This window comes from Homo sapiens, chromosome 6, assembly GCF_000001405.40.
Source record: "Homo sapiens chromosome 6, GRCh38.p14 Primary Assembly".
In the NCBI taxonomy this organism is placed as follows: domain Eukaryota; kingdom Metazoa; phylum Chordata; class Mammalia; order Primates; family Hominidae; genus Homo; species Homo sapiens.
This window is the reverse complement of record NC_000006.12, coordinates 118181088-118208585: the sequence shown is the minus strand read 5'-3', so window position 1 is coordinate 118208585 and position 27498 is coordinate 118181088. Positions and strand designations below refer to the sequence as shown.

The 27498-nt window shown below is 38.2% G+C and overlaps 1 protein-coding gene across 2 annotated transcripts in view, besides 1 other annotated feature; it reads right to left on the bottom strand.

Moving 5' to 3' along the window:
- Positions 1–27498, bottom strand: part of SLC35F1 (solute carrier family 35 member F1) — a 410408-nt gene that overhangs the window by 109086 nt on the left and 273824 nt on the right. The gene's annotated exons all lie outside the window — the stretch shown is intronic.
- Positions 20223–20436: a silencer, noted in NCBI's record as "fragment chr6:118509313-118509526 (GRCh37/hg19 assembly coordinates)". NCBI's record gives its function as "represses an EF-1alpha promoter that drives an FKBP-Casp9 reporter gene in an ReSE screen in phorbol 12-myristate 13-acetate-treated (for megakaryocytic differentiation) K562 erythroleukemia cells {active_cell/tissue: K562(+PMA)}" and the evidence as "EXISTENCE:reporter gene assay evidence [ECO:0000049][PMID:32094911]".

Genomic DNA, 27498 nt, shown 5'->3' with positions numbered 1-27498 from the left:
TAAAAAGTCTGTGTACTCTAAATAATAAAAGGGTTATTTTAAAATAAATTTCTTGTTACAAGATAAGATTGAGCTCTCTTAATTTAAAAAGATTTATAAAGAAATCAGAGAATTAGTTAATCCATAACACAAAATAATAAATGTCTTGGTCAAAGGAAATTGGAAAATCATTTGTCATTATTTTATGAGCAGTGCTCACACTCTGTGATAGGTTTTCATTTCATTACCAGGTGTTTCTGTATTAGAGGGATAAAATTACTTCCCAGGGTCACAGATGAATGGAACATAAAGAACTGGAGATCTCATCACAACCTGGCTAAGTGGAGGGTACCCACTGGTCATATAGGACGTGCCTTATCCTGGTGCTCCAGCCCCTGTGTGCACAAGCAGTGGAAGCCAGGGCCTGCATGCAGGCAGCGGGGGTACCACTGCAGCAGAGGGGTGTGTGTGTGTGTGTGTGTGATCGCGCGCGCGCGTGTGTGTGCGTGCATGTGTGTGTATGTGTGTGTGTGAGAGAGAGAGAGAGGAGGGGGGCTCTCTTTCCCTTGATGTTTCCATTTTCTTTTACTAAAGAAGGCATTGCCCTTTTCAAGGGCCTTATGACTTCCAGCTTTCTACTCAGAACAGAAATCATCGCCCCAATCCCAAAAGGGAATGATTTGCTGTTATCTTTTAATCTTAACTGGATTTCATTCATACCAGGTAGCTAATTCCATTAAATATTTAAGTGTTAATGGTATTTTTGCCTAACAATGGAAAAAAGGTCTTTATCTGCAATTAAGGGAATTCTAGGTGATAGTAAGTCATAGTTTAGATGAGGGGGAGGGCCGAGGTGGCAAGAGAAATAGCAATTTGTCCTTGAAGTCAGACGAGGTCTCAGCTTTGGAGAAACAGAAAACTGCTTCAGTGTTTATTAGGTCCCTGGGAAGGTCTGCTGACATTGTCCTTCAACTTTCCTCCCTCTTCTGAACTCCACACTTCTCTCCCCATCCCTGCACATCCCCCAGCCCAAGTTTCTTTCCATACTGATGTCTACGACTTTGTTCTAGGTTGCCTTTGAGTACAACAGTCTATTTCACATGTGTATAGAGAAACACAGCCTCTGATATTTGTTGTTTGTGCATCATAACTGCTCAGAACTCCAGAAAATGATTCTAAGTCATATTCTGCAGAACATGCTTCCTAGGCCTTGCAATTTATTACATACAAATATTCTGCAAGGAATTATTTCTTAAGGTCAATCAACTAAACAATCAACAAAACTCTGACTCATTTACTAACCTTCAGTGACTAATTTATTTTAAATATGCCTTTTTATTTTAACCTACAACTTAGGAATTTTAATATTGATTAATCCAATCATTCCTTATAAAAATAAGCAAATATTTCCTAGGGCTCTTCTGAGATCTGTGCTTCTACTCCATGCCCATAGATTCCTCTTTAGGTTTATAATATACATTTGCCTAGGTTTATCCTACTTTACCTGTTTATTTTACCTCAAGGCTACCTCTTGCTTCCCCTTTGATTTTCTCAATTGAGACATTCTGATTTATTAAGGGTAAGGAAAGGAAGCCTTCATTCACTGCACATGTCAGAATTTGTTAAATTAATCACTTCAAAGTTGTTTTTATTTTTTTTTAAACACTAAGACAATTCAGTTGTTCAGAGTATTAGCTTCTGAGCTGCAACAAGTTGTTTAATCCTGAATTTTCTAAATGCTAAGAGCTTCAGCAGGGAAAACAAGCATTGTATGCAAATGCTGTGATCTTGCCAGCTCACAGTACAGCTAGTTCAATTTGTCTCTTGGTTCCCTGTGATGGACAGAAGATATTTGGTTTGGTAACAAGATGGCCTCTGTGATACAAAAGGTGGCAATGTCCCACCTCTCAAGTGGCCCAACTACATGGTCCATCATAAGATTCCTAAAGTTTATTGAAATTTTTTCTGTTTTAGAAATATATATGTAAATATAATCACACCATTCTCCCACGTGGCCTAAAAATCCAAAAATGATTTTTTATAACTTTGCTTAGCATAATATATTCATTATTGTCAGCATATGAATAATGAGAACTCATAGCTTCAAAATCTGATTTTATGTTGAAAATTTTGCCTTTGGGTGCTCTGCACTAACCCACAGTGCTGAGATTATGCCCTCCTGCTGGGAGAAGCCATTGAGAGTAAGAAGTAAGGTTAGGGAAGGAATGGGTATAACCCCAAAGTACTTTCTCCAAAATTGGCCCCCTGTGAACAATTTTTCTAAAGATAGCATGTTAACATGATGACTAATAAGAGGGAAAAAGTTATGTTAGAAAAAGTTGCATAAAAACCAGACCATCAGCTATATAGAAAAGGGAATCAAAGTGTAGTGGCTGTTTTCTTTCTTTTAAAACAAAAATGTAATGTAAAATATACATAAGATAAATTAATCATTTTAACTATTTTTAAGTGTATAATTCATTGGCATTAAATACATTTAAAATATCATATAGCCATACATTTACAATATTGTGAAATCACCGTCACCATCTGTACCCAAAACTCTGTCATTATCCCCAGCACAAACACTGTACCCCATAAAAAATAACTCCCTATGTCCCCCTTCCCCAGTCCCTGGTAACCTTTCTTCTACTTTCTGTCTCTGCGAACTTACCTAGTCTATATACCTCATATAAGTGGAATCACAGGATATTGGTCCTTTTTGTGTCTGGCTTATTTCACTTAGCATAATATTTTCAAGGGTAGTCCATATTGTATCATATATGAAAATATCATTCTTTTGTGGCTGAATAATATTCCATAATATGTAAATATATTTTGCTTATCCATTCATCTGTGAATGGACACTTGTTTCCACCTTTGGCTATTATGAATAATGCTGCTGTGAACATTGGTATACAAATACCTGTTTGAGTCCCTGCTTTCAAGTCTCTTGGATGTATCTAGAAGTGGAATGGTTGGCTCATATGGTAGTTCTACATTTAACTGCTTGAGGAACCATTTTCCATAGCATGGCACCAATTTACATTTCCACCAGCAATGCGCAAGTGTTCTAATATATCCACATCACTGCTAACACTTACTTTCTGGTTTTTGTTTGTATTATTGTCATCCTAGTGGGTGCAAAGTGGTAACCCATGGTGGTTTTGATTTGCATTTCTCTAATGACCAACAATGTTAGAGAAAGTAGCATAAAAGCCAGACCATCAGCTATATAGATGTGCGTAGTGGCCATTCGTGTATCTTCTTCTCGTGAGAAATGTCTATTCAAGTCCTTTTTCCATTTTGTTTTTTTATTGTGAGTGGTGGCTTTTAAAGGGCTGCTTTACCTCCAACCAATAGCACAGACATCTTCCTCCACTAGAATCTGCCCATAAGCTAACACTCTACCCTAAAACTCCCACACACAGGTTTGCAATGTCCTATGAGCTGCCTTCACAGCATTGTCTTGACTTGACGGAGGATGGGGAGGGCAGGCAGAGCTGCATCAGGAGAGAAGAGTAACATCTTCTGCGGCCTCCTGGATGTTGCAGGAGCCAAAGAAACCCTGACAAAAGAAGTAGAGGTGAAAGGCTTTCCTGCCTTACTAGGGAGCTCCAGCGTAGCTTTCTGTCAGCCTGGGTCTTACCTCGTATTATTCATGGGATTGCTTGCTCTTTGGACCTTCTTACCATTTTTCTTGGCACGCAAGGAGCTTTAATGCTTAGTGTGGCTAATCAGCTAGTCAGTGGATGATGTAATGAAAAGATTCTTCGAACTCTGTATTTTGAAAGTAGACTAATAGAGGTTATGGGGATGGGGATTTCTGTTCTGAGGAGTGGGTAATACTGTTTCTTGATTTGGATACTGGTTACAGAGGTGGTTCTGTTTGAAAAATTCTTATAACTTATTCACTATTCTCTCTGTTTGTTATACTTCAATAAAAGCTCAAAAGAGAAAGAAAGAAAAACTCTGCCTACTCAACAGAGTCAATAGCTTCATGATACCTCTGTTCAGTAGGTAAGTCACTTTTGAGGGCACAGCTAGATTCAATAGCCTGAGAGCTGTACGTATTTCAGAAAATAAACATAGGAATTGACTAGTGGTCAGAAATTACGAGAAGATATGCTTCATTTGTCCCTTTATCACAGGGCAGGATGACATTATTTAAAAGTCAATTTTGATCATAACCTTCCCCAAAGTAAAAAGTGTCCAAGGCTTCCCATTGCAGTTACGACAAAACCTGTAATCCTTGCCTTGGCTCAGGAGGCCTCACATGGTCTGGCCCACTTTTGCGTCTTCATCGTGTATCACTCTTTCACTTCCTTATCATGCTGTAGTAACACAGATCCCCACTGTGTTCCTCAATCCCACTCGGCTCACTCTCTTGCCCTTTCCTTTGTGTCCACTATTCCCTTGGCTGGGCTGGGCTCCCTGGCTGTCCCCATGACTTTAGCTCTCCTGCTCACTCTCACTCTCCCTTATGTCTTGGGTCTCATCTCAAATGTCACTTCCTTAATTAAGTCTTCTCTGACCATCCTAGATAAAGTAGGCCCTCCATCCTAATTATTGCTTTCTATATTACCTCCTAGTTTATTTCCTTTACGGCATTTATTACTATTAGCAATTTTCTTGCTAACTTGTCTTCCCCACTAGTATATAATTCTCCATGAATGCAGGGACTTTGTCAGTCCTGCTCACTGCTATACTGTCTAGACATTGCACTGTTCAAAGTGTGTAGGAGTGCACAAAAGCCTATTTGTTACATAAATGAATGAAGCCATGAATGGCTCTAAATTAATTGCAAAGAAACTGGGTCATAGTGGACCACAGCAAATGGCATGTATAGTTGCCATAGTGCAATTTGGATTACATGGATATTCAGTGAGGAGTAACAGACAGTTTGCAGTTTTTTTCTCCTCTGGTGTCTCTCTATTGACAGGCTTTCCTACAAGTCTTGGCAGGAAACAGACACATCCCTCCCAAAGGCATGGTTCCTTTCCCTCCAAGAGCAAGGCTTCACTCCAATGACCTCAGATGCTTTTCCACTGCAAAAAGAGCCCTCAGAGGGAGATAGTTAGATTAAGCACTGTGGGATTTTGAAGGGCCCTCCTGAAAGGAGAGAGAATAAAATAATAGAAAGAGACTACAGCAAGCCACTTACAGAAGAGGTTGTGTGGCCCTCAGATTGTAACATCCTGCTTTGATTTCTGGAAAGACAGCCCTGAGGGGAGGGTATCTTGTGCATTTGGCATTCTTTCACACAGATGACCTTTGATGGCAGAGTACTAATACTTAAAAGGACCCTGTTGCTCTAAGGAGCCTGTGCTTCACTCAAGATAACTACTGTCCTCAGAGCCCTATGAACCTCAGAGAGCAGTTGGCCCAGTTGGCTCCTTCATGAATAGGGTGGGAATGTGCACAGAGACATGGCCTAGCTTAGGAGTGAATATGAGGAGAGAACGTGGAAACTCTCAACTCAGTCATTAGATCTTGACTGCTGTGTGAGAGCAGCTGAGTTGTCTTTAGTTGAATGCTGTCTTCCAGAAATAAATTACCCATAGGTAGGAACAATGATCTCTCACTTCAAAGATGTTAGTTCAGGCTTTTTACTGCATTGGTTCTTATGCACAATTTGTTATAAAGGAATAAACACTTAGGGCTTTGGAATTACCACTTAAACTGCTTAAAAAATTGTCATCCAAAACTTGATGTGGCTAGAACTTATTATTCAGGTCTCAGCTCAAATGTCATCTCCTCGGAGAGGCCTTCCCTGATGACAGAGCTTAAAGGAGCATCCCACATTTGCCCAGCTACTCTCTGTCACTCAGGTCTATGTAATGGCTTTCAGAACACTTATCACTACATGAAATCACCTATTGTATTTGTTTATGTGGTTGTCTGTCTCCTTTCACTAGATTGGAATTGCCATGGAAGCAGGAATGTTGTCACATCATAACTTTGGTGTTTAGAAGAATGTGTGGCACATTGTTAGCACTCAATGAACTTATCTACCATCCAGTAGGTACCAGACACTTTGTGAATACTGGAGATTCAAGAAATCACTCAATAATGCAAAACAGTGCAGCCATTTTCTTTTATTTTATTTTGGGACAGGGTCTTGCTCTGTCACCCAGGCTGGAATGCAGTGGTGCAAACATAGCTCACTGCAGCCTCAAACTCCTGGGTTCAAGCAATCCTCCTGCCTCACCCTCCTAAGTAGCTAGGACTACAGGCGTGTGCCACCATGCCTAGCTAATTTTTTTTTAATTTTTGTAGTGATGGAAGCTCTCTATGTTGCCCAGACTGCTTTTAAACTCCTGGCCTCAAGCAATCCTCCTGCATCAGCCTCCCAAAGTGTTGAGATTATAGGCATAAACTACTGCACCTGCTCCGGTGCAGCCACTTTGGGAAACAGTCTAGCAATTCTTCAAAAGTTTACACATAGAGTTACCATATGATCCAGAAATTTCTCTCCTAGGTATATACCCAAGAAAACATACCAATGAAAACCTATATCCACATAAAAACTTGAACATGAATATTCATAGCAGAATTATTCTTATTTTCCAAAACAACCCAAATGACCATCAACTGATGAAAAGATAAATGCAATAGGATATATCCATAAAATGGAACACCCTCTACAATAAAAAGGAATGAAGTGATAATACATGCTACAAAATGGATGAACCTTGAAAATATTGTGCTAAGTAAAGAAGCTATTCATGAAAACCACATATTATATGATTTCATTTCTATTTAATATCTAGAATAAGCACATGGACAGATTAGTGGTTGCCTTGGACTGGAGAGTGGCCTTGAAATGGGGAATGACTGCTAGTCATACCAATGGGGTATGGGATTTCTTTTTGGGTGATGTAAATGTTCTAAAATTTATCGTGATAGTTGTACAACTATGTGAACATACTAAAACCCACCGAATTATATACTTTAATTGAGTCAATGGTATGTTAATTATATCTCCATAAAGACATTATTTTACAAGTCATTCAACCATGCATGATACCTGATGTTACTCATTCATTCAATCTTTCAACATGTATTCATCAACTGCATTGTAACAGGCTCAGGGCTAAATGATGGAGATACAAAGGTAAACAACTGTAGTTTCTACCTTAAGGAACAATCTATCTAAATGTTTGTGGTTTCTATAACAACTTCCTACCTTATTTCACATCTGTTGAAGAAATCTGATTACGAGAAATGATATGTGCTGGAAACTGCTACTTGTTCAGTAAAATCCATTTTCTCCTATTCTTCTTGGACACACAACTAGATAACATTTCTTAGCCCCCCTTACAATTGGGTGGCTGTGTACCTGATCTTTGGCAAATTCTGAGGGAAAGCAGTATACCACTTCTGCCAAATTTGGCACAGAGAATCTTTTTTTGCATGCTCCTCCATGCATTTCACCCCCTCTGCCAATAGAATGGAGATAAACATGCTCAGCCTGGGCAACATAGCAAGATCCTATCTCTAAAAGAATTTTTTAAATAAGAAATAATTAGCTGGGCATGGTGGCATGCACCTGTAGTCCCAGCTACTTGGGGGGCTGAGGTGGGAAGATCGCTCAGGAGGTTGAGGCGGGAAGATTGCTTGAGCTCAGGAGTTTGAGGCTGTGGTGAGCAATCGTCACGTCATTGCACTCCAGCTTGGATGACAGAGTGAGACTCCGTCTCTAAAAAACCAAACCAAATCAAAAAACAGAAAAAAAAGAAAAGGAGTAAGCACACTGATTCTGGAAGCCACATGATGTTGACGATTGCAGGATCTTTATCATCTTGGGTGCTGAATGACTACATGGAGCAAAACCCCCAAACTGACCCATAATCGCACTGTTACGATAGAAAAATATAAACCTCTAATTCTAAGGCAAAACTTGGTGTTACTCTAACTAACACACTGGGGTATAACAGAAATATGTAGCTTGTGAGGCCCTCCTGGTCCCTTAAAAATCTGGGCTAAAAGCCTAAAGGTGCTGTTTTCCTTTAGATATAAGGTGATAATTTTATTAGGTCTTGATTAGACTTGAGTTACGGCTTTTATTACTTAACCCTGGTATGATTTCTTCTATTCCTTGAGGGACTCCTGCTGTTTCAGCAACCAGGAACCTGGAAGGACACTGGCAGGGGACAGGGTATTACAGCAGGAATCCTGTCAAGTTGGTGTAGCCAGAATCCTCCCTTACTCCTGGTGTTTCCACTTAGTATTTTCTGTCCACTGACCCCACCCTGTTCTTTGGCTGTAAATCCCCAGTTGTCCATACTATATTCAGAATTGAGCCCAGTTCTATACTGAGGTTTCTTTTCTCCTATTGAAATAGTCCTGAATAAAATCTGTTTTTGCCACTGTAACTACTGTCCAGCTCTGGTTTGCTATGTATGTATGTATGTATGTATGTATGTATGTATGTATGTATGTATATATGTATGTATGTCAGCGGTACTGGCACTCACCTATGCTGCTGGTGAGAGTGTGAATGGTATAATCTCTCTGAAGGGCAATTTGGTACTATGTATCAAAAGTCTTCACATGTATGTAAACTCTCCACCTTCCCAAGCCCAAAACTGCCTACTCTTTGACCCAGTCATCACATTTCTAGCAATTTATCTTAAATTTAAAAATTTTTAAAAAGATTTAGTTGTCAAATGTACAATTTATTTGAAACATTTAATACAACAATGTGGTTGTAAGGAAAAACACTGGAAAGATTTTGAAATTTATTATGTGTCCTGTCTAGCTAGACAGCTATTATTTGTTTTTTAGTATGCTATTTTATGACTTCATAAAGATAGAAGTTCACATGTAGAAAACTCACAGTAATGCAAATAATTACTGTCCATAGAAATACTAATAGTGTCTGGTGAAATGCATTGATTATTTCCCTGTAGACATTGACTAGTTTTACCAGTTTTGCAACCATATGTGAATTTACTTCAGCATTTTAAAAAATGTGACTAAATGTGGGATAATTTGAGGTCATTTTTGAACTGGTTGTTCAATATCTTACTAGTTTCTTCATTAATTAATGAGATAAAGAAAACTTTAACATATGTTCACTTAAACCTATATGGGAATCATTTTAAAAAATTTATCCTTTGATATGGAGATTGTTTAATTAATCATGACACGTTCATATAACAGAATGGTACGTAGCCTTACAAGTTGTTACAGAAGAAAATTTATTGACATAGAATAAGGCAGGTTTCAGAACAACACACACAGTATGAGTTTACCTTGCATAAAAATGTAAATATAAGTGTGTGCAAGAGTACAAGTCCCCAGATGACCTTGACTGACCCAGCTTTTACCCCTCCCACTTGGGGTTCTCAGGTTTTCAGGGTAACTGTAGAATGTGCTGAAAATGCAGTGTCCTGAGATAAGAAAGAACTGTCTTGAATAGCCCAGGTCTTCTCCTCATCCTTCCTAGAACAGGATGTCCTACAATACTTTGGGTCAGCAATACAAGTTTCCCCAGATGTGTAAAACTCAGAGCAGAATACTTTCAGGGTCCCTCAGCTTTGGTGAGAAATGGAGTGTGTGTAAATAAGAATCCATCTGCCCTGGGCAGCTTTTCCCAGGCTTGGGGGACTGGCTCACCATGGATCCTAGGCTTCTGTTGATTCTTGCTGTCTGTGAGTCATAACGTTGCTTGGCCTGACTTGCTGTGAGAGTGTTCTCTATCACTGGAATTCATTCTAACAGCTGGGTTTGTGCAAAACCTTCCAGATGTAGGAAACTAAGCAGGAATTAGTAAGGTGTTTAGAGTCCTCCCCTGGGATTGGCAACAGGTGCTGGTATTCTGCTTAACAATGTGTATATGTGTGGATAAACATACATACACATACATATACACACACAGGTGTGTAAACATTAATGTGACATATGGGTATATATTTCAGCTCTGGAATACATCAAAGCAATAAAAAAGATGATCTCTGGGATGGAAGTGTAAGTGTTTAATTCTTCTATATGCTTAAATGTATTTTCTAATTTTTCTAAAATAAATTATGCTTACAATACGAAGCGGTTATTTTATTTTTTAAAAATTGCAGTGGGATAAATAAGAATATTTTTTACCTTTCACTAATTTGCTTTCAGATTTTAAACACTCAATCTTTCATGTATAGCTCAGGGAAGTCTTCCTGTTTGCCTGTTGTCCCCTCATGAATAATAGGGCCTCCTTTTATTCTCAAAAATGTTTCAGTTTGAAACACTTTTATGGTCATGTTACTTCTGTGATATTAGCTCAGAAGATCTGAAAGATGTCATGCCTCAGTGCATGAAGTAAGCAGTATTAAAGAGAAACTGGCATATCTGTGAGCAATGACATAATTCACTGGTTCAAAATCTGAATTTTATGTAGTCCAGAAAAATATTCTTGCAAAAACAAAGCATGTTTACCTTCACAGATTGCATGATTGAAGTCCAAGCTTATTTAATTGTCTGAATGAGTGGGGAAAATGATCACAACATTTCCTGCAAATTATATTTATCATAGTACTGAGAGTCCACAAGTCACCTAAATATTTCAGGGGACAAGCATTCAGAAGCAGAGTATCAATGATATAGAAAATGCTCTTAATAAAAGAAAATTTTCTTTCCTCTGTAAATTTTTCATAACTGCAAACAACTTACAGATTTTAGGACCCAAAAGAGGCCTTAAATTTAAAGCAGTATTTATCTTGTCAGCAAGTTATTAGAGTGATGCCTTTACAAATCCACTGCCAGCCACTGGCTGTCCCAGTGGGGAACCGGCTGTTTCAGAAAGTGAGCTTTTCAAATGTAAAGCAGTGATTTTTCTGCTTTCTTCCCTCTGAAAGCAGACAACATAAAGTCTTAAAAATTCAACCCTGTCTCAAAAAAAAAAAGAAAGAAAACCAACACTGAATTGTTGCAAGGGCATTTGTAAGGACTGAGTACAATTTGGGCCTCAGGCCACAGTCTTTATTTGTGCCAAAGCCTCAGGAGGCAGGAGATCAATTTTCGTAAGCTCAGAGTTCTATATTTTCCTGAATCCTCTTTTATCGTGTTAATATTATCCTGGAATCAGATAGGGAAACTTTTACTTAATCCCAGAGATAGGAGAGTTTGTCTGAGCCTCTGTACTTTCTAAACCAGATGGGGGAAAATAACTTCATATTAAGGTAAAACCTTATTTTATTCATGTATTTTACAATAAAGGTAGCATAAAGGCTCACTGAGTTTTTTTAAGAGAAAAACTCTAATGTTACTAGTTTCTCAGATCATCTAGTTTCCAGATATTTGGAGAGTCAAAGATATCTCTTAGGTTATCTAAAGACAAAAAAAGAAATAGAAAGGAAGGATAGAAATGAAGGAAGGGAGAGATGGAAGGGGGGAAGTAAAGAAAGGAAAAGAAAAAAGAATGAGGAAATCAGCTGATTCAATTGCTAGGCAAAATAACTAAGATACACTTAGAATTTTTTTCTTATTGTATATATTTATGGTGTAAAACTTGATGTTTTGATATACATAGTGAAATGGTTACTATAGGCAAATTAACACCCATCATCTCACAGAAGTACTTTTTTTTTTTTTTGGTGTGGCAAGAGTATCTAAAATGGTCAAGTAATTTTTAACAAGGGTACCTGGAAGACACAATGGGGGAAAAGACAGTCTCTTTAATAAATGGTATTGGGAAAATTGGCTGTTCACATGCAAAAGAATAAAATGGGACCCTTATGTTAGGCTATGTACAAAAAATCAACTAAAAATGAATTAAATACCTAAATGTTAAGATCTAAAACCACAACACTCCTAGAAGAAAACATATGGGAAAAGCTCCTGACATTGGTCTTGACAATGATTTATTTATTTATTTATTTAATTTATTTTTTTTGAGACAGAGTCTCACTCTGTGGCCCAAGCTGGGGTGTGGAGTGCAGTGGCGCAATTTTGGCTCACTGCAACCTCTACCTCCCGGGTTCAAGTGATTCTCAAGCCTCAGCCTCCCCAGCAGCTAGGATTATAGGTGTCTGCCATGACACCCAGCTAATTTTTGTATCTTTAGTAGAGATGAGATTTCACCACGTTGGCCAGGCTAGTCTCGAACTCCTGGCCTCAAGTGATCTGCCCGCCTCAGCCTCCCAAAGTGCTAGGATTACAGGCATAAGCCACTGGCCCCAGCTGATTTTTTGAATATCACACCCAAAACACAGGCAACAAAAGCAAAAATAAACAAATGGGACTTGTTAAAGCAAACTAAATAAGGCTTGAGAAGGACACTGTACGTCTATATTCAAATCATTGTGGACAAACTGCAATCTAACTTAATAGGTAGACAAGATTGAAAGCCTAACTTAGAAACATGTGCCTACAACAATAGCTGAGTCTTGGCCAATCCCAGCAGCAATACTTCAACCACTCACTCACTGCTGAGTGTTCAAACTGTGTTCAAATAAGGCAAATGCCAACCTGTAACTAATCCAGCTGTTTCTGTACCTCACTTCTGATTTCCATACGTCACTTTACTTTTTTGTCTACAAATTTGTTCTGATCAGGAGGCCCCCCCTGGAGTCTCTGAATCTGCTGCGATTCTGGGGGCTGCCCAAATTGTGAATCATTCATTGCTTGATTAAATTCCTTTAAACTTAATACAGCTGGAGTTTTTAATAGATGGTGTCAGAAGCAGGGTCCGAAGTAGAGCTTTAACGACCCCAGGAGTGCGGAGTGAACACTCAAGGTACCCGCAGGACCCACCTGTGTCCGCTGATCTCTCAGAGCAGCTGGGAATCATGGGTAAGTTCTCTCTTAAATTTTAGAGTTCCATGGATTTGTGTTTTGAGCTCTCTGAGTTTCTTTGAACAAATTTCTGTTCCAAACTGGGTTTGGAAGTCACAACAGAAACTGGACTAGGTCCAGGATCAGATTTGATCCAGTAATTAACTGTCTTGGATCCAGTTAGAGGCCTCTTACATCTGACTGGGTCAGAAGAAACTGGTAGTAAATGATAATATTGCAGGGGTTGTAAAATTTGGCTTTTGAAAATTCACAGGGATTTTTGTGTTCTACCCCTTCATTTCACTTTTCTTGTGCACTTAGGTAGGAAAAAAAAATCATTGGCTAAGTTAACCAAGGGAACCTGAGAGCAAAGCCAATACTTTAGGTAAAAATGGGATCCTGAATTGCTGAAAAACTGAGTTCCCTTTGACTTATACATTAGACCCAGGGAGGAGCAAAGTCTTACAGAAATGGCAAAATCTTACTAAAGATAACTTACAGTGGAATGTTCTGGATAAACAACACATTGAAGTGTATTTAAAAATGAGGGCTCCCCAAAATTAAATCTGCTAACCTTTTATCTTAGTTACTATCCTGATCCAAAGAAATAGACGGCAGCACCAATTGGCTGACTTTGGATAAGTAATGGGGGTACATTTTACCTGAGTAAAGGATAAGTTTGGGTTAGAGGCCCTCCCCTCAGTAAAGTCCTTCTTGGTTAAAAGGGACTAAAGATGACAAGGCCCAACCGGGGGCAAGTTTGAGCCTTGCCAGTCTAATACTGGGTGCTAAGCAGAGTGGCTAATGTCTATGTTTTGTCACACACATTTTGCTCTGGCAGGAATGGAAAATGTTAATTTGGTTACCGGATGAAACTCCTTGGACAGCATCTTACAAAATTGAGAGGCTTCTGCCTGGGGTTCCATGAAACAGAGAGGGGAAAAAAAAAAGATTTTCTTTTGTGTTGTGGCTTGGTCTCCAGGGCTATAGTGTGGCAAGCAGGGTCGCTAGGGCCATTCAGGGAAAGAGAACTTAGAAAGCTGACATGCCAGCAAAAGGGCAAGAATTTCTTACAGTCAGACTTCTGGCCCCTCTCTCTCTGTGCAAACCGGTTAAAGGAATGGTAAAAACCACTGTTTATCTCCTCTGTAAAGTTTTGATTAATGTGAAAAAGGATTCTGAGGCTAGTCTTAAGCTGTAGCAAATCTGGTGTATTTTGTGATATGAATTTGTCTTTCTTTGTCATTCTGTCATAAAGAGGGGTACCTTAGGATAGAACACGGGCTTAGGAACCCATAAGCTCGCTATTCAAGATGGCCCAGAAAGCTGGTCTGTTATAAATTTTGCTGCAGATCTCTGAAGAAAGAAAAAAAAAATAGATGAGGCCTCCATCTTGTTTTATGTCCTTGGGAGCTAAACCTTGTAACCACATGGCAGTACTTTCTTTTGATGTCTGCCATTTTACAATGGTGGTCCAGGTTGAATCCTGGCTTAGGGAATGAGTACTTTCTGGTTTAATATCTGCATGACCTTTATCTTTTCCCCTCCATGAACAACTTCTGGCTTCTCTTCTTGAATTTTCCTTTCTTTGAGCTACCTTTGAAGATTCTAGATTTTGTAAAAACTGCATGCTTTCCTGGCCCTATTCCTCTAAGGACTCCACTCTAAATCCAGTAATCCAATTAAGAAACTTCAAAACTGGCAAATGAAAAATCTTAACAACTATTGGATCTTCTTCTGTCTGTCTGTGTAGTTATATATATGTTGTGTGTGTGTGATGTTCATATAAAAGAGCTCTAATTAATTGGCTTAAAAATAAGTGCTTAAATCAAATATTTTGAAAGAAAAATAAAAACTGTAATGGCTTTTAGTTCATGTGACTTTTGTAATCTTTGAGAAATAAAAAGTTTTAAAGATAATTTAAAATAAAGACATTTGGTCTAAATTAGGTCAGATATTAGGTTTGCTAAATGCTTTAAGGTTATAAACTGCTTCTTTGGTTTTTGAAAATTGTTCATCTTTCCTGCTTTACAGCTTGGTAAGGCCTGGGCATGTGTGGAGTTAGCCACACCCCTAGCTATGCTGGAAAGAGTCAGACCCTATCTGCACTTCTGTCTGATTTCCTAGGCTCCACACCTAGTATATAACTAAAATAACTTACCAGGTTTTTCACCAAAATTGAAAATTGCTAAGAGTTACCATTATCATATGTAATGGAGACCACTGAAAAAAATTTTTACATGCAAGGTATGTAAAGAAAGTAAAATGTATTTTTAGAAAAGACTATAAGAATGCATAAAAATGTGGATTTTCTTGCCTAAGTTTAGAGGGTTAAAGGATTGTTTTATATTAGATAGGATAAAGCTAAAAGTTTGAACAAGTTGTGGAAGGTTTGTGAAAAATCAATCTTATAAAAAGAAATTCTGTGTGGACACTGACTAAAGTTAAAGGGGTATTATTAAGTTTTTCCATAAATTGAACATTGGAATAAGAGCACAACAGGGTTTTCTTAAAGCACTGATCTGCTCTTTAACCAAAATTTGTAAAGGCTTATAAAAGCTTTATGAGAATAAACCTTTTGACCTTATGGTCAAACTGATTAAGATTAGATAGATTTGTCTTGTCTATAAGGTTTTATTAAAAGTTGAGGTTGACATTAATAGTACACTAATGCAAGGGTGAAATGTGGTTTTCTCTCTTGAACAAGATTTTCATGTAATATTAAAAGATAATGAAAGATTTTTGTTTACCTTTCGAATAAACTACCGAAAAAAGAAGGGAAAGATAAAAGACAAATTTTTTGGAAAGCTAAGTCTTCCCTCCATCAATGAGTAAAGGTTTTTGCCTTTTTAAAATATTTTGAGTCATCATTTTGGCTAAATGAATGACTTATGGCAACCTGGAATTCTGTTTAATAATATCAAGTGTTTCAAACCTTTAATATATTTGATGGGCTTCCCAAAATCAAATTTCAGCTTCAAAATTGTCTTTTCTGACCTCTAACTTTGAGATGCTGCAGAGGGCTCCTGAAGCATGCAAAAGAGAGGTAAACAGAATTATGTGACATGTTAAGTTATAAGGGAAGCATTGTCAAAATAAAAGATAATGTTTAACCTTCTTCAGGTTATATTTTAGTGTATACCATCAATATGTTCCAAAATTGTATGGGATTTCTAAAATTCTAATATGTCTGAGTATATGCTATCAATCATAACTATGGTTATTATGTTAAGTTATTGTAGACCACAGAAATAACCAAATTTCCTTGTTAATTGTGTATTTAACTGACTATTTAAAGTCATTTCCACAGTTAACTGCTTAATGCTAATGCAGTTTCTGAACTTCACAAGCAAGGAAAATCCTAGAATATGGTGTCTTTTAGGAGGTTCATGAAAGGATGAAAAGGACCCTGAAAAGCACTCTTGAATACAGGTTTCTAATAACTTTAAAATCGTATCATGGGTAAAAATTCCCCATGAATTCCCCAATTCCCCAAGGATTGGACTGGATAAGAATTCCTGAAACTTTAATAAAAAGACTGACTGGTTTATAAAACTGCTAACCCAAGGAGAACAAAAATCAATTGAATACCAAGGAAATACTTTGCCAGATTTGCATGTTAAATCAGCGAATACTGAAACTGCTTAGCTATACAATTTGAATGAACTCCATGGTCTAAGTCAAATTACCTATGGTAACTCATCAGTTATCAGTGCTAGACACCTAATTTGGAATAACAACTCGTATTCAAGAGGATATAAGTCCAATATTAAACAAGGACTCATGCCACCTTGTCCTTCCTGAGTCCTTAAAGCTTTTATTATTAAAAGTTCTGCATTCCATGACTCATAATGGAAAAGATAAAATGATCCAAATTAAATATATTGGTGTGGTGACTAATAAATTGCTAAAATAGCTTATAACCAATATTTGGTTTGTCAAACCCATATTCTTGGAAAAACAATCAAAGCCTCAAGTACATTTGTTTACCTGATGGGCCATTTAAACATTTTATAAAGGGATTTCATTCAACTGTCATTTTCAATGCATGTTTTCTGGTTGTATAAAAGCTCTCCCATGTAAGAGCACTGATGTTATAACAGTAGATTATTATGCTACACTGTATTTTCACCAGGTAAAGAAAGGTTTTTGTGGTTCACTGATGACATTCAACCCCTTTACAATCTAGAACCCAAGAACTCTATCTTCTGAGAACATAAGAGAAAGACTGCCCTTGCTATCCACACTGCAACACAAACTTTGGAACCTTGAACTTTCGGTTCATAATCTCACAACTGAGAAGGGTCCCTCCACACTCTTGGAACTGTACACCCATTGGAATGCTTAAGGTAAAGCTAACCAGGGAGATGGTATCCTTGATGTGAACAGCTTTTCCCAAGATCACAGATCAAGACTTCTCTACAATCATGAGACTCTTATCTATGAATATCTTTTCGTTTATGCCTCTATGAACAATAGAAATGAATAGGGGGTCTGTTGTGTGCACTTATGGGATACTTTTGTATCCCACTGTGTGTACTTTTATTTGTGAAGGATTTTTCAGCTAGCCTTATACATAGATAACCTTATACTTTGATAGATGAAAGAGAAGTCCCAATGCAGGTGAGAAACTTTAATGGTACATATGTCGCCGCATAATCAGTAAGAAACAGAACATTGATTCACTTCTCTTAACCCACATCATGGGTTAAAGAGAACACTTCCAGGAGGCCTTTACTCTTCTAGAAGGGCATCGTGTTTTAGGTCCTTTTTCCATGGTTTGGAATAAAAGAGGCAATGACTAGAAGTGTATTCCTCATGATAGGCTCTATAGCAGATTCTACTGTAAAGGCTATGGTTACACAACAGACTTTAAATTCTCTTGTGAAAGTTATGCTAAATAATAGAATTGGCGAAACAGGAAAGTATCTGTGCAGGTACTGGCACTCATGGCCTATGGAGAAAACATTGGATATTTTAGAGATTCAGTTGTAGGGGATTAACAAAAAGAGTGCTTAGTTAAGCAAGTAGACTAACTAATTCTTTGATCTATTTGACTTTAGGTGGTTTGGTTTATGGGAGCTCTGGGTAAGGAGCATACTGCAAACTCTTGGTATTATCCTCCCCATAGTCACAATAGTAGAACCCCTGGTGCGCTGTATTCTCTCAAATGTCTTAAATATTTGCATGCAGCCATCTCTAGAATGTCAAATGGTCTCTCTTCAAGTGGAATGACAAGAGCTGAAAGAAATGTGTGACCATGAGGATACCAAACCTATGAATGATATGCTGAGACTAGAAACCCAAAATCACGCTGAGAGTGGTGCTAAGGCCCCAAGTTTTTTTAAATCATACTCTCACCTAAGTAAGAACCTGACCAAAGGGGGATTTTTTTTTTTTAAGCAAAATTATGGCAGTCCATTTTTTTGGACTGAGCTCATGCAATAGGCCCTAACAGACTAAACCAAACCAAAATGGAGTTGCTCGTGCTAAGTGTGATATAATCAAACTAAGTTTTTAAGGAAACACATAGATCCTGGTCCAGAACAGACCAGGTTTTGTTTTTCTCCTGTAAACAGGATGTTCCAGTATAAGGAGGAACCCTTGTTCCTACCTTTGCAAAACTCACTGTTCTACTGTTTCCCAGTGGGTTCCAAGACCAAATAAGTACATTTACAAGGTAATAGTGGCATCAATGACTAACATTTTGGTCAGTCTCTCAAAATGAAGAAAACGACTAAAAGGGGGGAATTGTTAAAGCAAACTAAATATGGCCTGAGAAGGACTCCATACTTCTATATCTGAGTCCTTGTGAACTAACTGCAACCTAATTTAACAAGTAGACAAGATTGAAAACTTAACTTAGCAGTATGTGCCTATAACAATAGCTGAGTCTTGGCCAATCCCAGCAGACATACTTCAACCACTCATACACTGCCAAGTGTTCAAACTGTGTTCAAATAAGGCAAATGCCAACCTGTGACTAATCTGGCTGTTTCTGTACCTCACTTTGGATTTCTGTATATCACTTTACTTTTTTTGTCTATAAATTTGATCTGACCACGAGGCCCCCTGGATTCTCTCTGAATCTTCTGTGATTCTGGGGGCTGCCCGATTTGTGAAACATTTATTGCTTAAACTCCTTTAAATTTAATTCAGCTGGAGTTTTTCAATTAAACTCTGTTACATTTAATTTGTCTAAAATTTTTCTTTTAAGAGATCAAACTCAAAAACTTCTGCATAGCAAAGTATACAATCAACAAAATCAAAAGACAGCCTACTGATTGGGAGAAAACATTTGTGAACCATATATCTGCTAAGGCGTTAATATCTAAAATATATAGTAAGACATTTATACAGTTTAATAGTAAAATGATAATAATAATCTGATTTTAAAAATGGGCAAAGTACCTGAATAGACATTTCTTCAATGAAGACATAAAAAATGGCCAAGTATATATGAAAAGGTGCTCAACATCACTAATCATTAGGAAAATGCAAATCAAACTACAGTGTGATATTACTCACACCTGTTAGAATGGCTATTATCAAGAAAACAAGAGATAACAGGTGTCACTGATGGTCTAGAGAAGAGGGAATCTTTGTACATTGCTGGTAAGAATGTAAGTTGGACTGGGCATGGTGGCTTATGCCTATAATCTCAGTACTCTAGGAGGCCGAGGCAGGAGGATTGCGAGTCCAGGAGTTCAAGACTAACCTGAACAACATGGTGAGATTCCCTCTCTACAAAAAAATTTAAAAACTAGCCAGGCATGGTGGTTCACACCTGTAGTCCCAGCTACTTGAGAGGTTGAGGTGGGAGGATTGCTCGAGCCCAGGAGGTCGAGGCTGCAGTCAGCCATGACTGCACCACTGCACTCCAGCCTGAGTGAGAGTAAGACTCTGTCTCAAAAAACAAACAAACAAAAATGTCAATCAGTGCAGGTTATGAAACTTCCTCAAAAAAGTAAGAAATAAAACTATCATATGACCGAGAAATGCCTTTTCTGGGTATATACCCAAAGGAAATGAAATCAGTATGTTGAAGAGATATCTGTACTCTCTTGTTCATCAAAGCACAATAGCCAAGATATGGAAACAACGTAAGTGTCTGTTAATGAATGAAAGGATAAAGAAAATGTGGTGTATATATACAATGAGATATTATTCAGCCTTAAAAGATCTTGTTTTTCTTTTTCTTTAAGAAACATGATACTGAATTACCAATGCACTGTCCAATAAGTTTAAGGGATTTCAACCAGAAGTATAGTTTTTCCTTTTTTTTTTTTTTGAAATGGAGTTTTGCTCTTGTTGCCCAGGCTGGAGTACAACGGCACGGTCTTGGCTCACCGCAACCTCTGCCTCCCAGGTTCAAGTGATTCTCCTGCCTCAGCCTCCCGAGTAGCTGGGATTACAGGTGCATGCCACCACGCTCAGCTACTTTTTGTATTTTTAGTAGAGACGGGGTTTCACCATGTTGGCCAGGCTTGTCTCGAACGCCTGTCTTCGGGTGATCCACCCGCCTCCACCTCCTAAAGTGCTGGGATTACAGGCGTGAGCCACCGTGCCTGGCCTAGTTTTTCCTATACTGTGATTTTCTTTCACTGAACTTTAGTAAATGAAGACAACTTGAAAGACAAAAGTATAACAAATGTAAAAGGAATTTTCTGAGAATCTGGAGTGCCACTACCAGGAAAAAGTGAATCATTTTGTCAGGAGGTCAGCTGGTGTCTGTGGCAGCAGACCTCCCCTTCAATCTGCGACTCTGTGTCAAGTTCTAAGTGACCCCATAGCATTATTGCTCAAGTTAAAGATAGTTACACATAATGAAGCAATCACATTCAGTATTAAGTTCTTTGGTAAGTGCTGACTGCTCAATGACTTGACAGAATATGAATTAAATGCTTTATGTAGTGGTCCCAGAGGAATTGGGCAATAGGAATTTATGCCATTATTTTTGAAACAACTCTGTGTCTGGCAAAAGCCAGAGACACCAGCCTAAGTTGACATCTTCCATGTGGCAATGGTGAATGATTTATATGCTAGGAGGAGTTTCCCCTTTGCTTGTAACAAAAACTATTTTTAACTCTCACAGTCAAGAGAATTTTGTTTTCTGGCTCAGGCACCTTTTAGATTAATATGCTTCCTAAAATTGAAATGACTCATTAGGATCTGTACTTTGAGTGGGCTGGAGTCTTGGTTCATACATCTCTCAGAAAGTCATTTCATCTTGAAGCTTTGGGAGAAGTCCCTCCAGCCACCCACGCGCTGGATAACTAGGGGAAAACTGATTAAGGGCTGTCAAGGAAAAAACAGAGCAAAGTGTACATTCCATTATCATTGAAGAAGTCTTGTCATGACCAAAAGGTGAAACAGTGCAGGAAAAAATTCAACTTCTTTTTGTTGTTTCACTTTCACTTATCTGCTCAGAGAACTATTTTCATGAGTTGGTTACAATTTTCAGGCCTCTTTTTTCTTACATCTGAGGGAAGGGGGCTTGGCATTAACTGGAACATTTGTCAGTCTCGGCAAAGATGGTGAGGGAGAAAGAAATAGAAATAAAAACAAGCTCTCAAAATGTGAGTGCTCCATTTGACAGAGAAGCAATTTCAGCATTGGCATTTTGGGGAAGAAGGGAGAAGAGAGGTAACATTCACATGCCTGCCTAGTGCAGGCTGTTGTTACATACATTATCTCATTTCAGATTTTGAGTCAGTGACAGAGAGCATGGGGTAGTGAACAAATCACAACTTGTACACATTACAAGAAAATGAGATCTCTCCAGAATAAAGGTCCAGAGAGATAGAATGAGATAGAGAGATAGAATGAGAGACAGTTGGGCATGAGTAATTGGATTGATATGGGAAAACAGAGGAATCTCTGGAAGGGCTGGGAGTCTATAGAAAATTTATGACTACATCAGCTTTAGAAGATAACCCAAAACCCTGGGAAGCTGGCTTTGGTTCAAGTTGTCTAGGAAACTTATCTTAAGTCCTTAACAGTTCATCAGACAGGAAAAGCTGTACCTTGATTTGCATTGTGGGGTTCTCTGAGTTCACCATTTCCCTGGGGATGGATCATTTATGGCCTCATTTAGAGACTGTGGACTACAGGTCCTATTCACTTTTATATCTCTAGCACCTAGCTTGGTATCTAGCAAATAAAAGCAGCTCAGTCAATGCTTACTGAATGAATGCCATGAATGTTGAACCACTATGTATTTGTTATTTGAAAATTGGGCAGACCCAATCCCAGTAAACTTAGTCAAAATGAAATACTTATATTATCTTAGGAATAGTTTAAAAAACTAAAGATTGGGAAGGGAGGAGGAAGACAGTGATTTAGTACAAAAGGAGTAAATGCTTTTGCCATGCAGCTATGGCAATGCATAAAATAAAGGAACCTGAAGTAAAACATGCTTTGTTACCCTGGAACTGTGCACCTGAGAAACATTTGGAATTTAAGTAAGGGTGTGGGGGTGGGGGCGCTATTATCTTTCTTTTACTCTCATAGAGTAGAAAGTACCCTTTCTGATGGCAGGTGCTGTGCTGGGCTTGGGGGTACAATGGAACCAGAACTCTTCTTACTCCTCTCCTAGAGTTCACGTTCTAGATGGGGAGACTGACTGATATTAGACACACAATGAGGTTGACTCCAGATACAGCTAGGGTATATGTTGGGGTGTGTGTGTGTAGAGGCAGCAGCCCAGATATCGTGACCCAGAGAGGCCCAGGAGGTCATATGAGTATTTCCTCTGGCTGGAGGCCACTGAGGAGAAGACTCACTCTGCTCAACCTTGTATATTGCAGGTAAGTGTCAGGATACAGTTGTCATGTATAATAAATACATCAAATCCTTTTGGGAGGGAGGATTAATAAGGCAGAGTTGAATAAAAACAAAATGTTATGGGTTTTGGGAGGGAGAGGAGGTTTGAATCTATTCATTGTAGACATACACATCAAGTCCTAATATGTGCCAGACACTGTGCTTGTTGTAATCAACAAAAAAACCCCAATCTTTGACATCACAGAACTTACAACACAGGTGCTTGGACCAAGGCTCTCAAATTCAAGGGTCTACTGGATGAGTAACAGAGACTGTGGCCAAGTGAAGGGTACTGGCCTTGTCTAGGTGGCCTTGTCTGAGTGGCAAGCCACAGCTCACTTCCTGGGGTTGTGCAGGAAGTCACGAAGATTCACTGTTGCCAGGTCTGATTTTCAATAGAATATTTATAAAGGAGTGCCTACACTCCTCAGGGAATGCTTCCCTGAAGAAAACACATTTTCATCAGGTTACTATACGGATAAGGAGAGAGCAACTTAACACTGTTTGATTTTGTTTTCCTGTTGATTTCGTGGCTAGATACTGTTTTGAGATGTTTTCCCCTTCCCTTATTTTTCTCTATTCCTACCCTTATTCAAGCTGGTAGCTGACTTTCTGTTATGTTGCCTCAGGGGAAATGTGGCAGGGCTAATGCAAAATTAGCCTGCAAATCTTTCTGGCTTTTATTTTCCCAAAGCCTAAAACCTGAAGAGTAATTTGCAGAAGAGATAAAGGAATAAGGATTTTCCAGTAAATGCAGAGTTCTGGATAACCAAGGGAAAAAGCAGCACTTAACTCCTGCCCCACACAAGAAAGATATTCCTCCTGGACTCAGAAGAGCTAGGGGGAAGAAATGGGGAAACACGGGTCTCAGAGCAGTGAAGATACTGGCTCTGCCTCTTGCTAATGCTATCACTGATACATCTAGGCAGAGTGGTCTGTTGGCAGCTTTAAAAAAAGTATACCTGTGCTTCAAGTGTGGCATCAGGAGCTGCCAAGAGCTGCTGGACAAGAAGGAGCTATGCAGCCAAGACAGCAGGTGCAATTTGGTGGTGACTAAATCTCCTGACTAATCCTGACCCTGACCATAGTCACAGAATCTCTACCCTATCTCTGATATGGGGAAAGATTTTGGAATCATGGCCCAAGATCTTTTCTAAAGGGAGGGGAGAGCCCTAAATGTGACTGAGGTGAAGTTTTCTTCCTACTTTCACTAGTGGCTAAGTTAAAATGGGTTGAGTCACAGAAAATACACTGATGTGTTATTCCTACATATCTGGATGTGCCCCGAAGTTCAAACCCACAGACATCACACACTAAAGTACCCATGTTTTCCTGCAAAGTCCTTCCAGAAGACTTATTTTTGTGTGTGTGAAGACAGACATGTATGGTACATATTTTTCTTTTTTGCCACAAATCCTATATCCTGATGTTGAAAGACTCGAAAGACAGTTCCTGCTGGACCCTCCCTAGAAATTCAGGTGCAGAATACTCTTGTCCTTTGGAGGACTGAAAGGGAGAAGCAGGAAAAGTGGAGTTAGGGCATTGGTTGCTTACTCAGAAGTTGGATGGTATCTTGGTCCTGAGGAGAGAAGGTTTCACTTAGTGTGTTACTCCCTTTAACAGAGTATCTGGGAGAGATTCCACACTGTGGTGGAGCTTGGAAATTCCTTGGACTGGATTTCTGGGAAATCTGCTCCACATATGGTAGAGCCAGGTACTCCATCATCTGGAAAAACTTTTGAGAGTCTTGCTCTTGATAGTTTTTCCAGGACACTGGCACAACACAACATTGTTGTAGGCCAACCAGGATGTGTGGTCATCTTGTCCCCACCGTGGGGAGACACTCTCATAGTATATGTTATATTGTTACTTGTGTCCTGTGCTTTGTCAGGAAAACATCACATCCTAGAAAATAGGCAGAAATTGCTGTTTTCTAAATCACTCAGAGGAATTTGAACAAGTACCCAGGGCAAGCTGTGGCCGATTCACTAGCAATTTGACAAAAGTCTTTGCTGTTGTAAGGTAGGTGGAGAGAGAAACAGATTTCTCTCTGCTTCCTGATATTCAAAGACTAGGGAAACGAATGAAAGGTCAAAGAATAAGAGACTATTTGTACTCTTGCTTAGAAGAAGGAATTCAAATAGATGACCTTTTAAAAAACACAAAAGAAACTGTAAAAGATTATGGCTGGAAGAAATGTTCACAGTAATTTGTAAAATGCTTCTGCTAATGTTAAATTAATTGCAGAGTCTGTTGTAGACCTTAGGCCTAACTAAGCCCTATTCCAGGATGGTATCTCTAACTAGGTTGGAGCTTCTTGAATTACCTAGTTTGAGATCCTAGGTAACAAGAGCTTACTGGGAAGTACATGCTTTGGGTCCCAAGGACTTATTATTTAAAGGGTGTTTCTTGATGGTCACCATTGAGTATTGACTTCTACTCTTAATGTTGTCATTTCATGAGTTCTATGCAATTTTTCTGTAAGAAACAATTTCTTTTTTTTTAATTTAATTTAATTTTATTATTATTATACTTTAAGTTTTAGGGTACATGTGCACAATGTGCAGGTTAGTTACATATGTATACATGTGCCATGCTGGTGTGCTGCACCCATTAACTCGTCATTATTTCTTTCTCTTCCACGCATGTCTTAGCACCAAGAAAAATGTGGTTCTGAAACTTTTATTCTGTGTTGTCAATAATGGCTCTTAATCATCCAGGTGGAACTCACCTCTAACCTTATTTTCAGGGAGTGAAATTTTAGCTTAAACTGTGACCATGAAATATAAACATGCCAACCAATCATTTGCTAACTGTTATGGGTTTCAAAGCTACCTAGGAAGCTTCAGAAAATACAGAACTTTACTGCTAGTGGTATTTCAAGACATCTAGAGTTACCATGATGGATTGCAACAATCTGAGCCATACAGTTCTTCTTACTTTGAAACAGATTTTGAAGATGGTGTTTAAAATTTTGGAGTCAGACCAAAGACACATCCTTCTAGGGTGCACATTTCGAAAAACAATAATACATTATATTCATTTGAACAGAGGAATCATGATAATAACTTAAGTTTTACTGTAATGGTCTTTAAGGGTTAAATTTGGTTTTGAAAACATACCATCAAGGTGTTATTTTACATTATAGTCTTTGATAATATCAGTCTATAAAAGTATTGACTACATTACAAATGTTCTTGTGCATAGTATATTATATATGAAAATAATAATGTCATTTCATAACAATGAATAATATAGAACATCCACATCCATTACCTTGTTTGTTTTTAAAAAATATTTTTATTTTGAAAATAGAGATGAGGTCTCATCATGTTGGCCAGGCTGGTCTTGAACTCCTGGCCTCATGCAATCCTCCTCCCACCTCAGCCTCCCAAAGTGTTGAGATTTCAGGAGTGAGCCACTGTACCTGACCTAAATTGCCTTTCTTTTTTTCTTCCTTCCTTCCTTCCTTCCTTCCTTCCTTCCTTCCTTCCTTCTCTCTCTCTCTCTCTTTCTTTTTTTTTTTTGACAGGGTCTCACTCTGTTGCCCAAGCTGGAGTGCAGCGGTGTGAACACAGGTCACTGCAACCTCAATTGCTGGGGCTTAAACAAGATCCTTCCACTTCAGCCTCCAGAGTAACTGAGGCCTCAGAGGTGTGCCACCACTCCTGGCTAACTAAAAAAAAAAAAATTTTTCTTTTTTATTTGTAGAGATATTGCCCATGCTGGTCTCGAGTTCCTGGGCTCAAGTGATCCACCCACCTCAGCTTCCCAAAGTGATGGGATTACAGGCATGAGCCACAGTGCCTGGCCCTAAATTGCTTTTTCATGCTTGAGTTTACTAATACCTTGAATTTATTCTATTCTATACTTGACTAAATTTCTTAAGCTCCAAGAATAAATCAGGAAGAAGATAAAAAGAGTGGAAAAAATAATGAAAAATAAAACAAAGACATAACAGAAAGTATCATCCAAGTGAAAAGTTGTTTCTTTTAAAAATAAAATAGCAAACACACTTTACTATTTCTTGCTCTACCATTATTGAAAGTCACTTTCAAAATCTCCCACTTTGCTAGGACAGTTTTTACTTTATCTATTTTGAATCAATATTACTAGGTATTTTTACAGGCTTAGGATTGTTTAACTCTAACTAAAATTTAATCAATAGGTAGTGAGTCTTATCACTAAGTAACATTTTTGTCTTAAAGTTTATATCGAATATATCTAAAGTAGCTCTCTTTTTGGAGTTTACCAAATTTATTTTTTTCCTTATTGTATTTTCAATCTTTTTTTGGTATTTCCATTTTTAAGTGTATCTTTTATAATCATCGTACATCTAGAATATTAAAAATTTATGCTGCTGACTTATTTTTTAACTGGAAAAGTTTGTGCATTGACATTGATACTGATTTCTGATATATTTCTACTCATTTTGGTGATGTTTTGGACTTTTGATTTGTCTCATGTATTGTTTCTTCTCTCTGCTGCACATTTTCCCTTCTCTTGGAGTTATTGAATTTCCCTCCCTCATTTTATTGTCTTCCCTCTAATAGGTTTTAAATTAGGGGTTCTATTTCTATTCTTTTAGTGGTTACTTAAGAAATGTAATACTCCAGTGTTTAAAGTTAATTTTACCCTCCTCCAAATCAATACAAGGACCTTGGAACATTTTAATCCCAACCACCACTTCCTAATTTGAATACTGTTCTTGCCTATGGTTTAATTTTTTTCCAGATTCATACCTCACAAACAAAACAGTATCATTATGATTTGAACAATTAATATTTGTATAGATTTGCCTTCATGTTTGCCATATTATTTACTTACCATTCCTTCTTCAGTTTAGTTCCCTGAAGTACATCATTTGAAGTTCCCTTGCTGAAAATCTGTTAGTAGGAAACTCTACTTTTATTTATTAGAAAATATCTT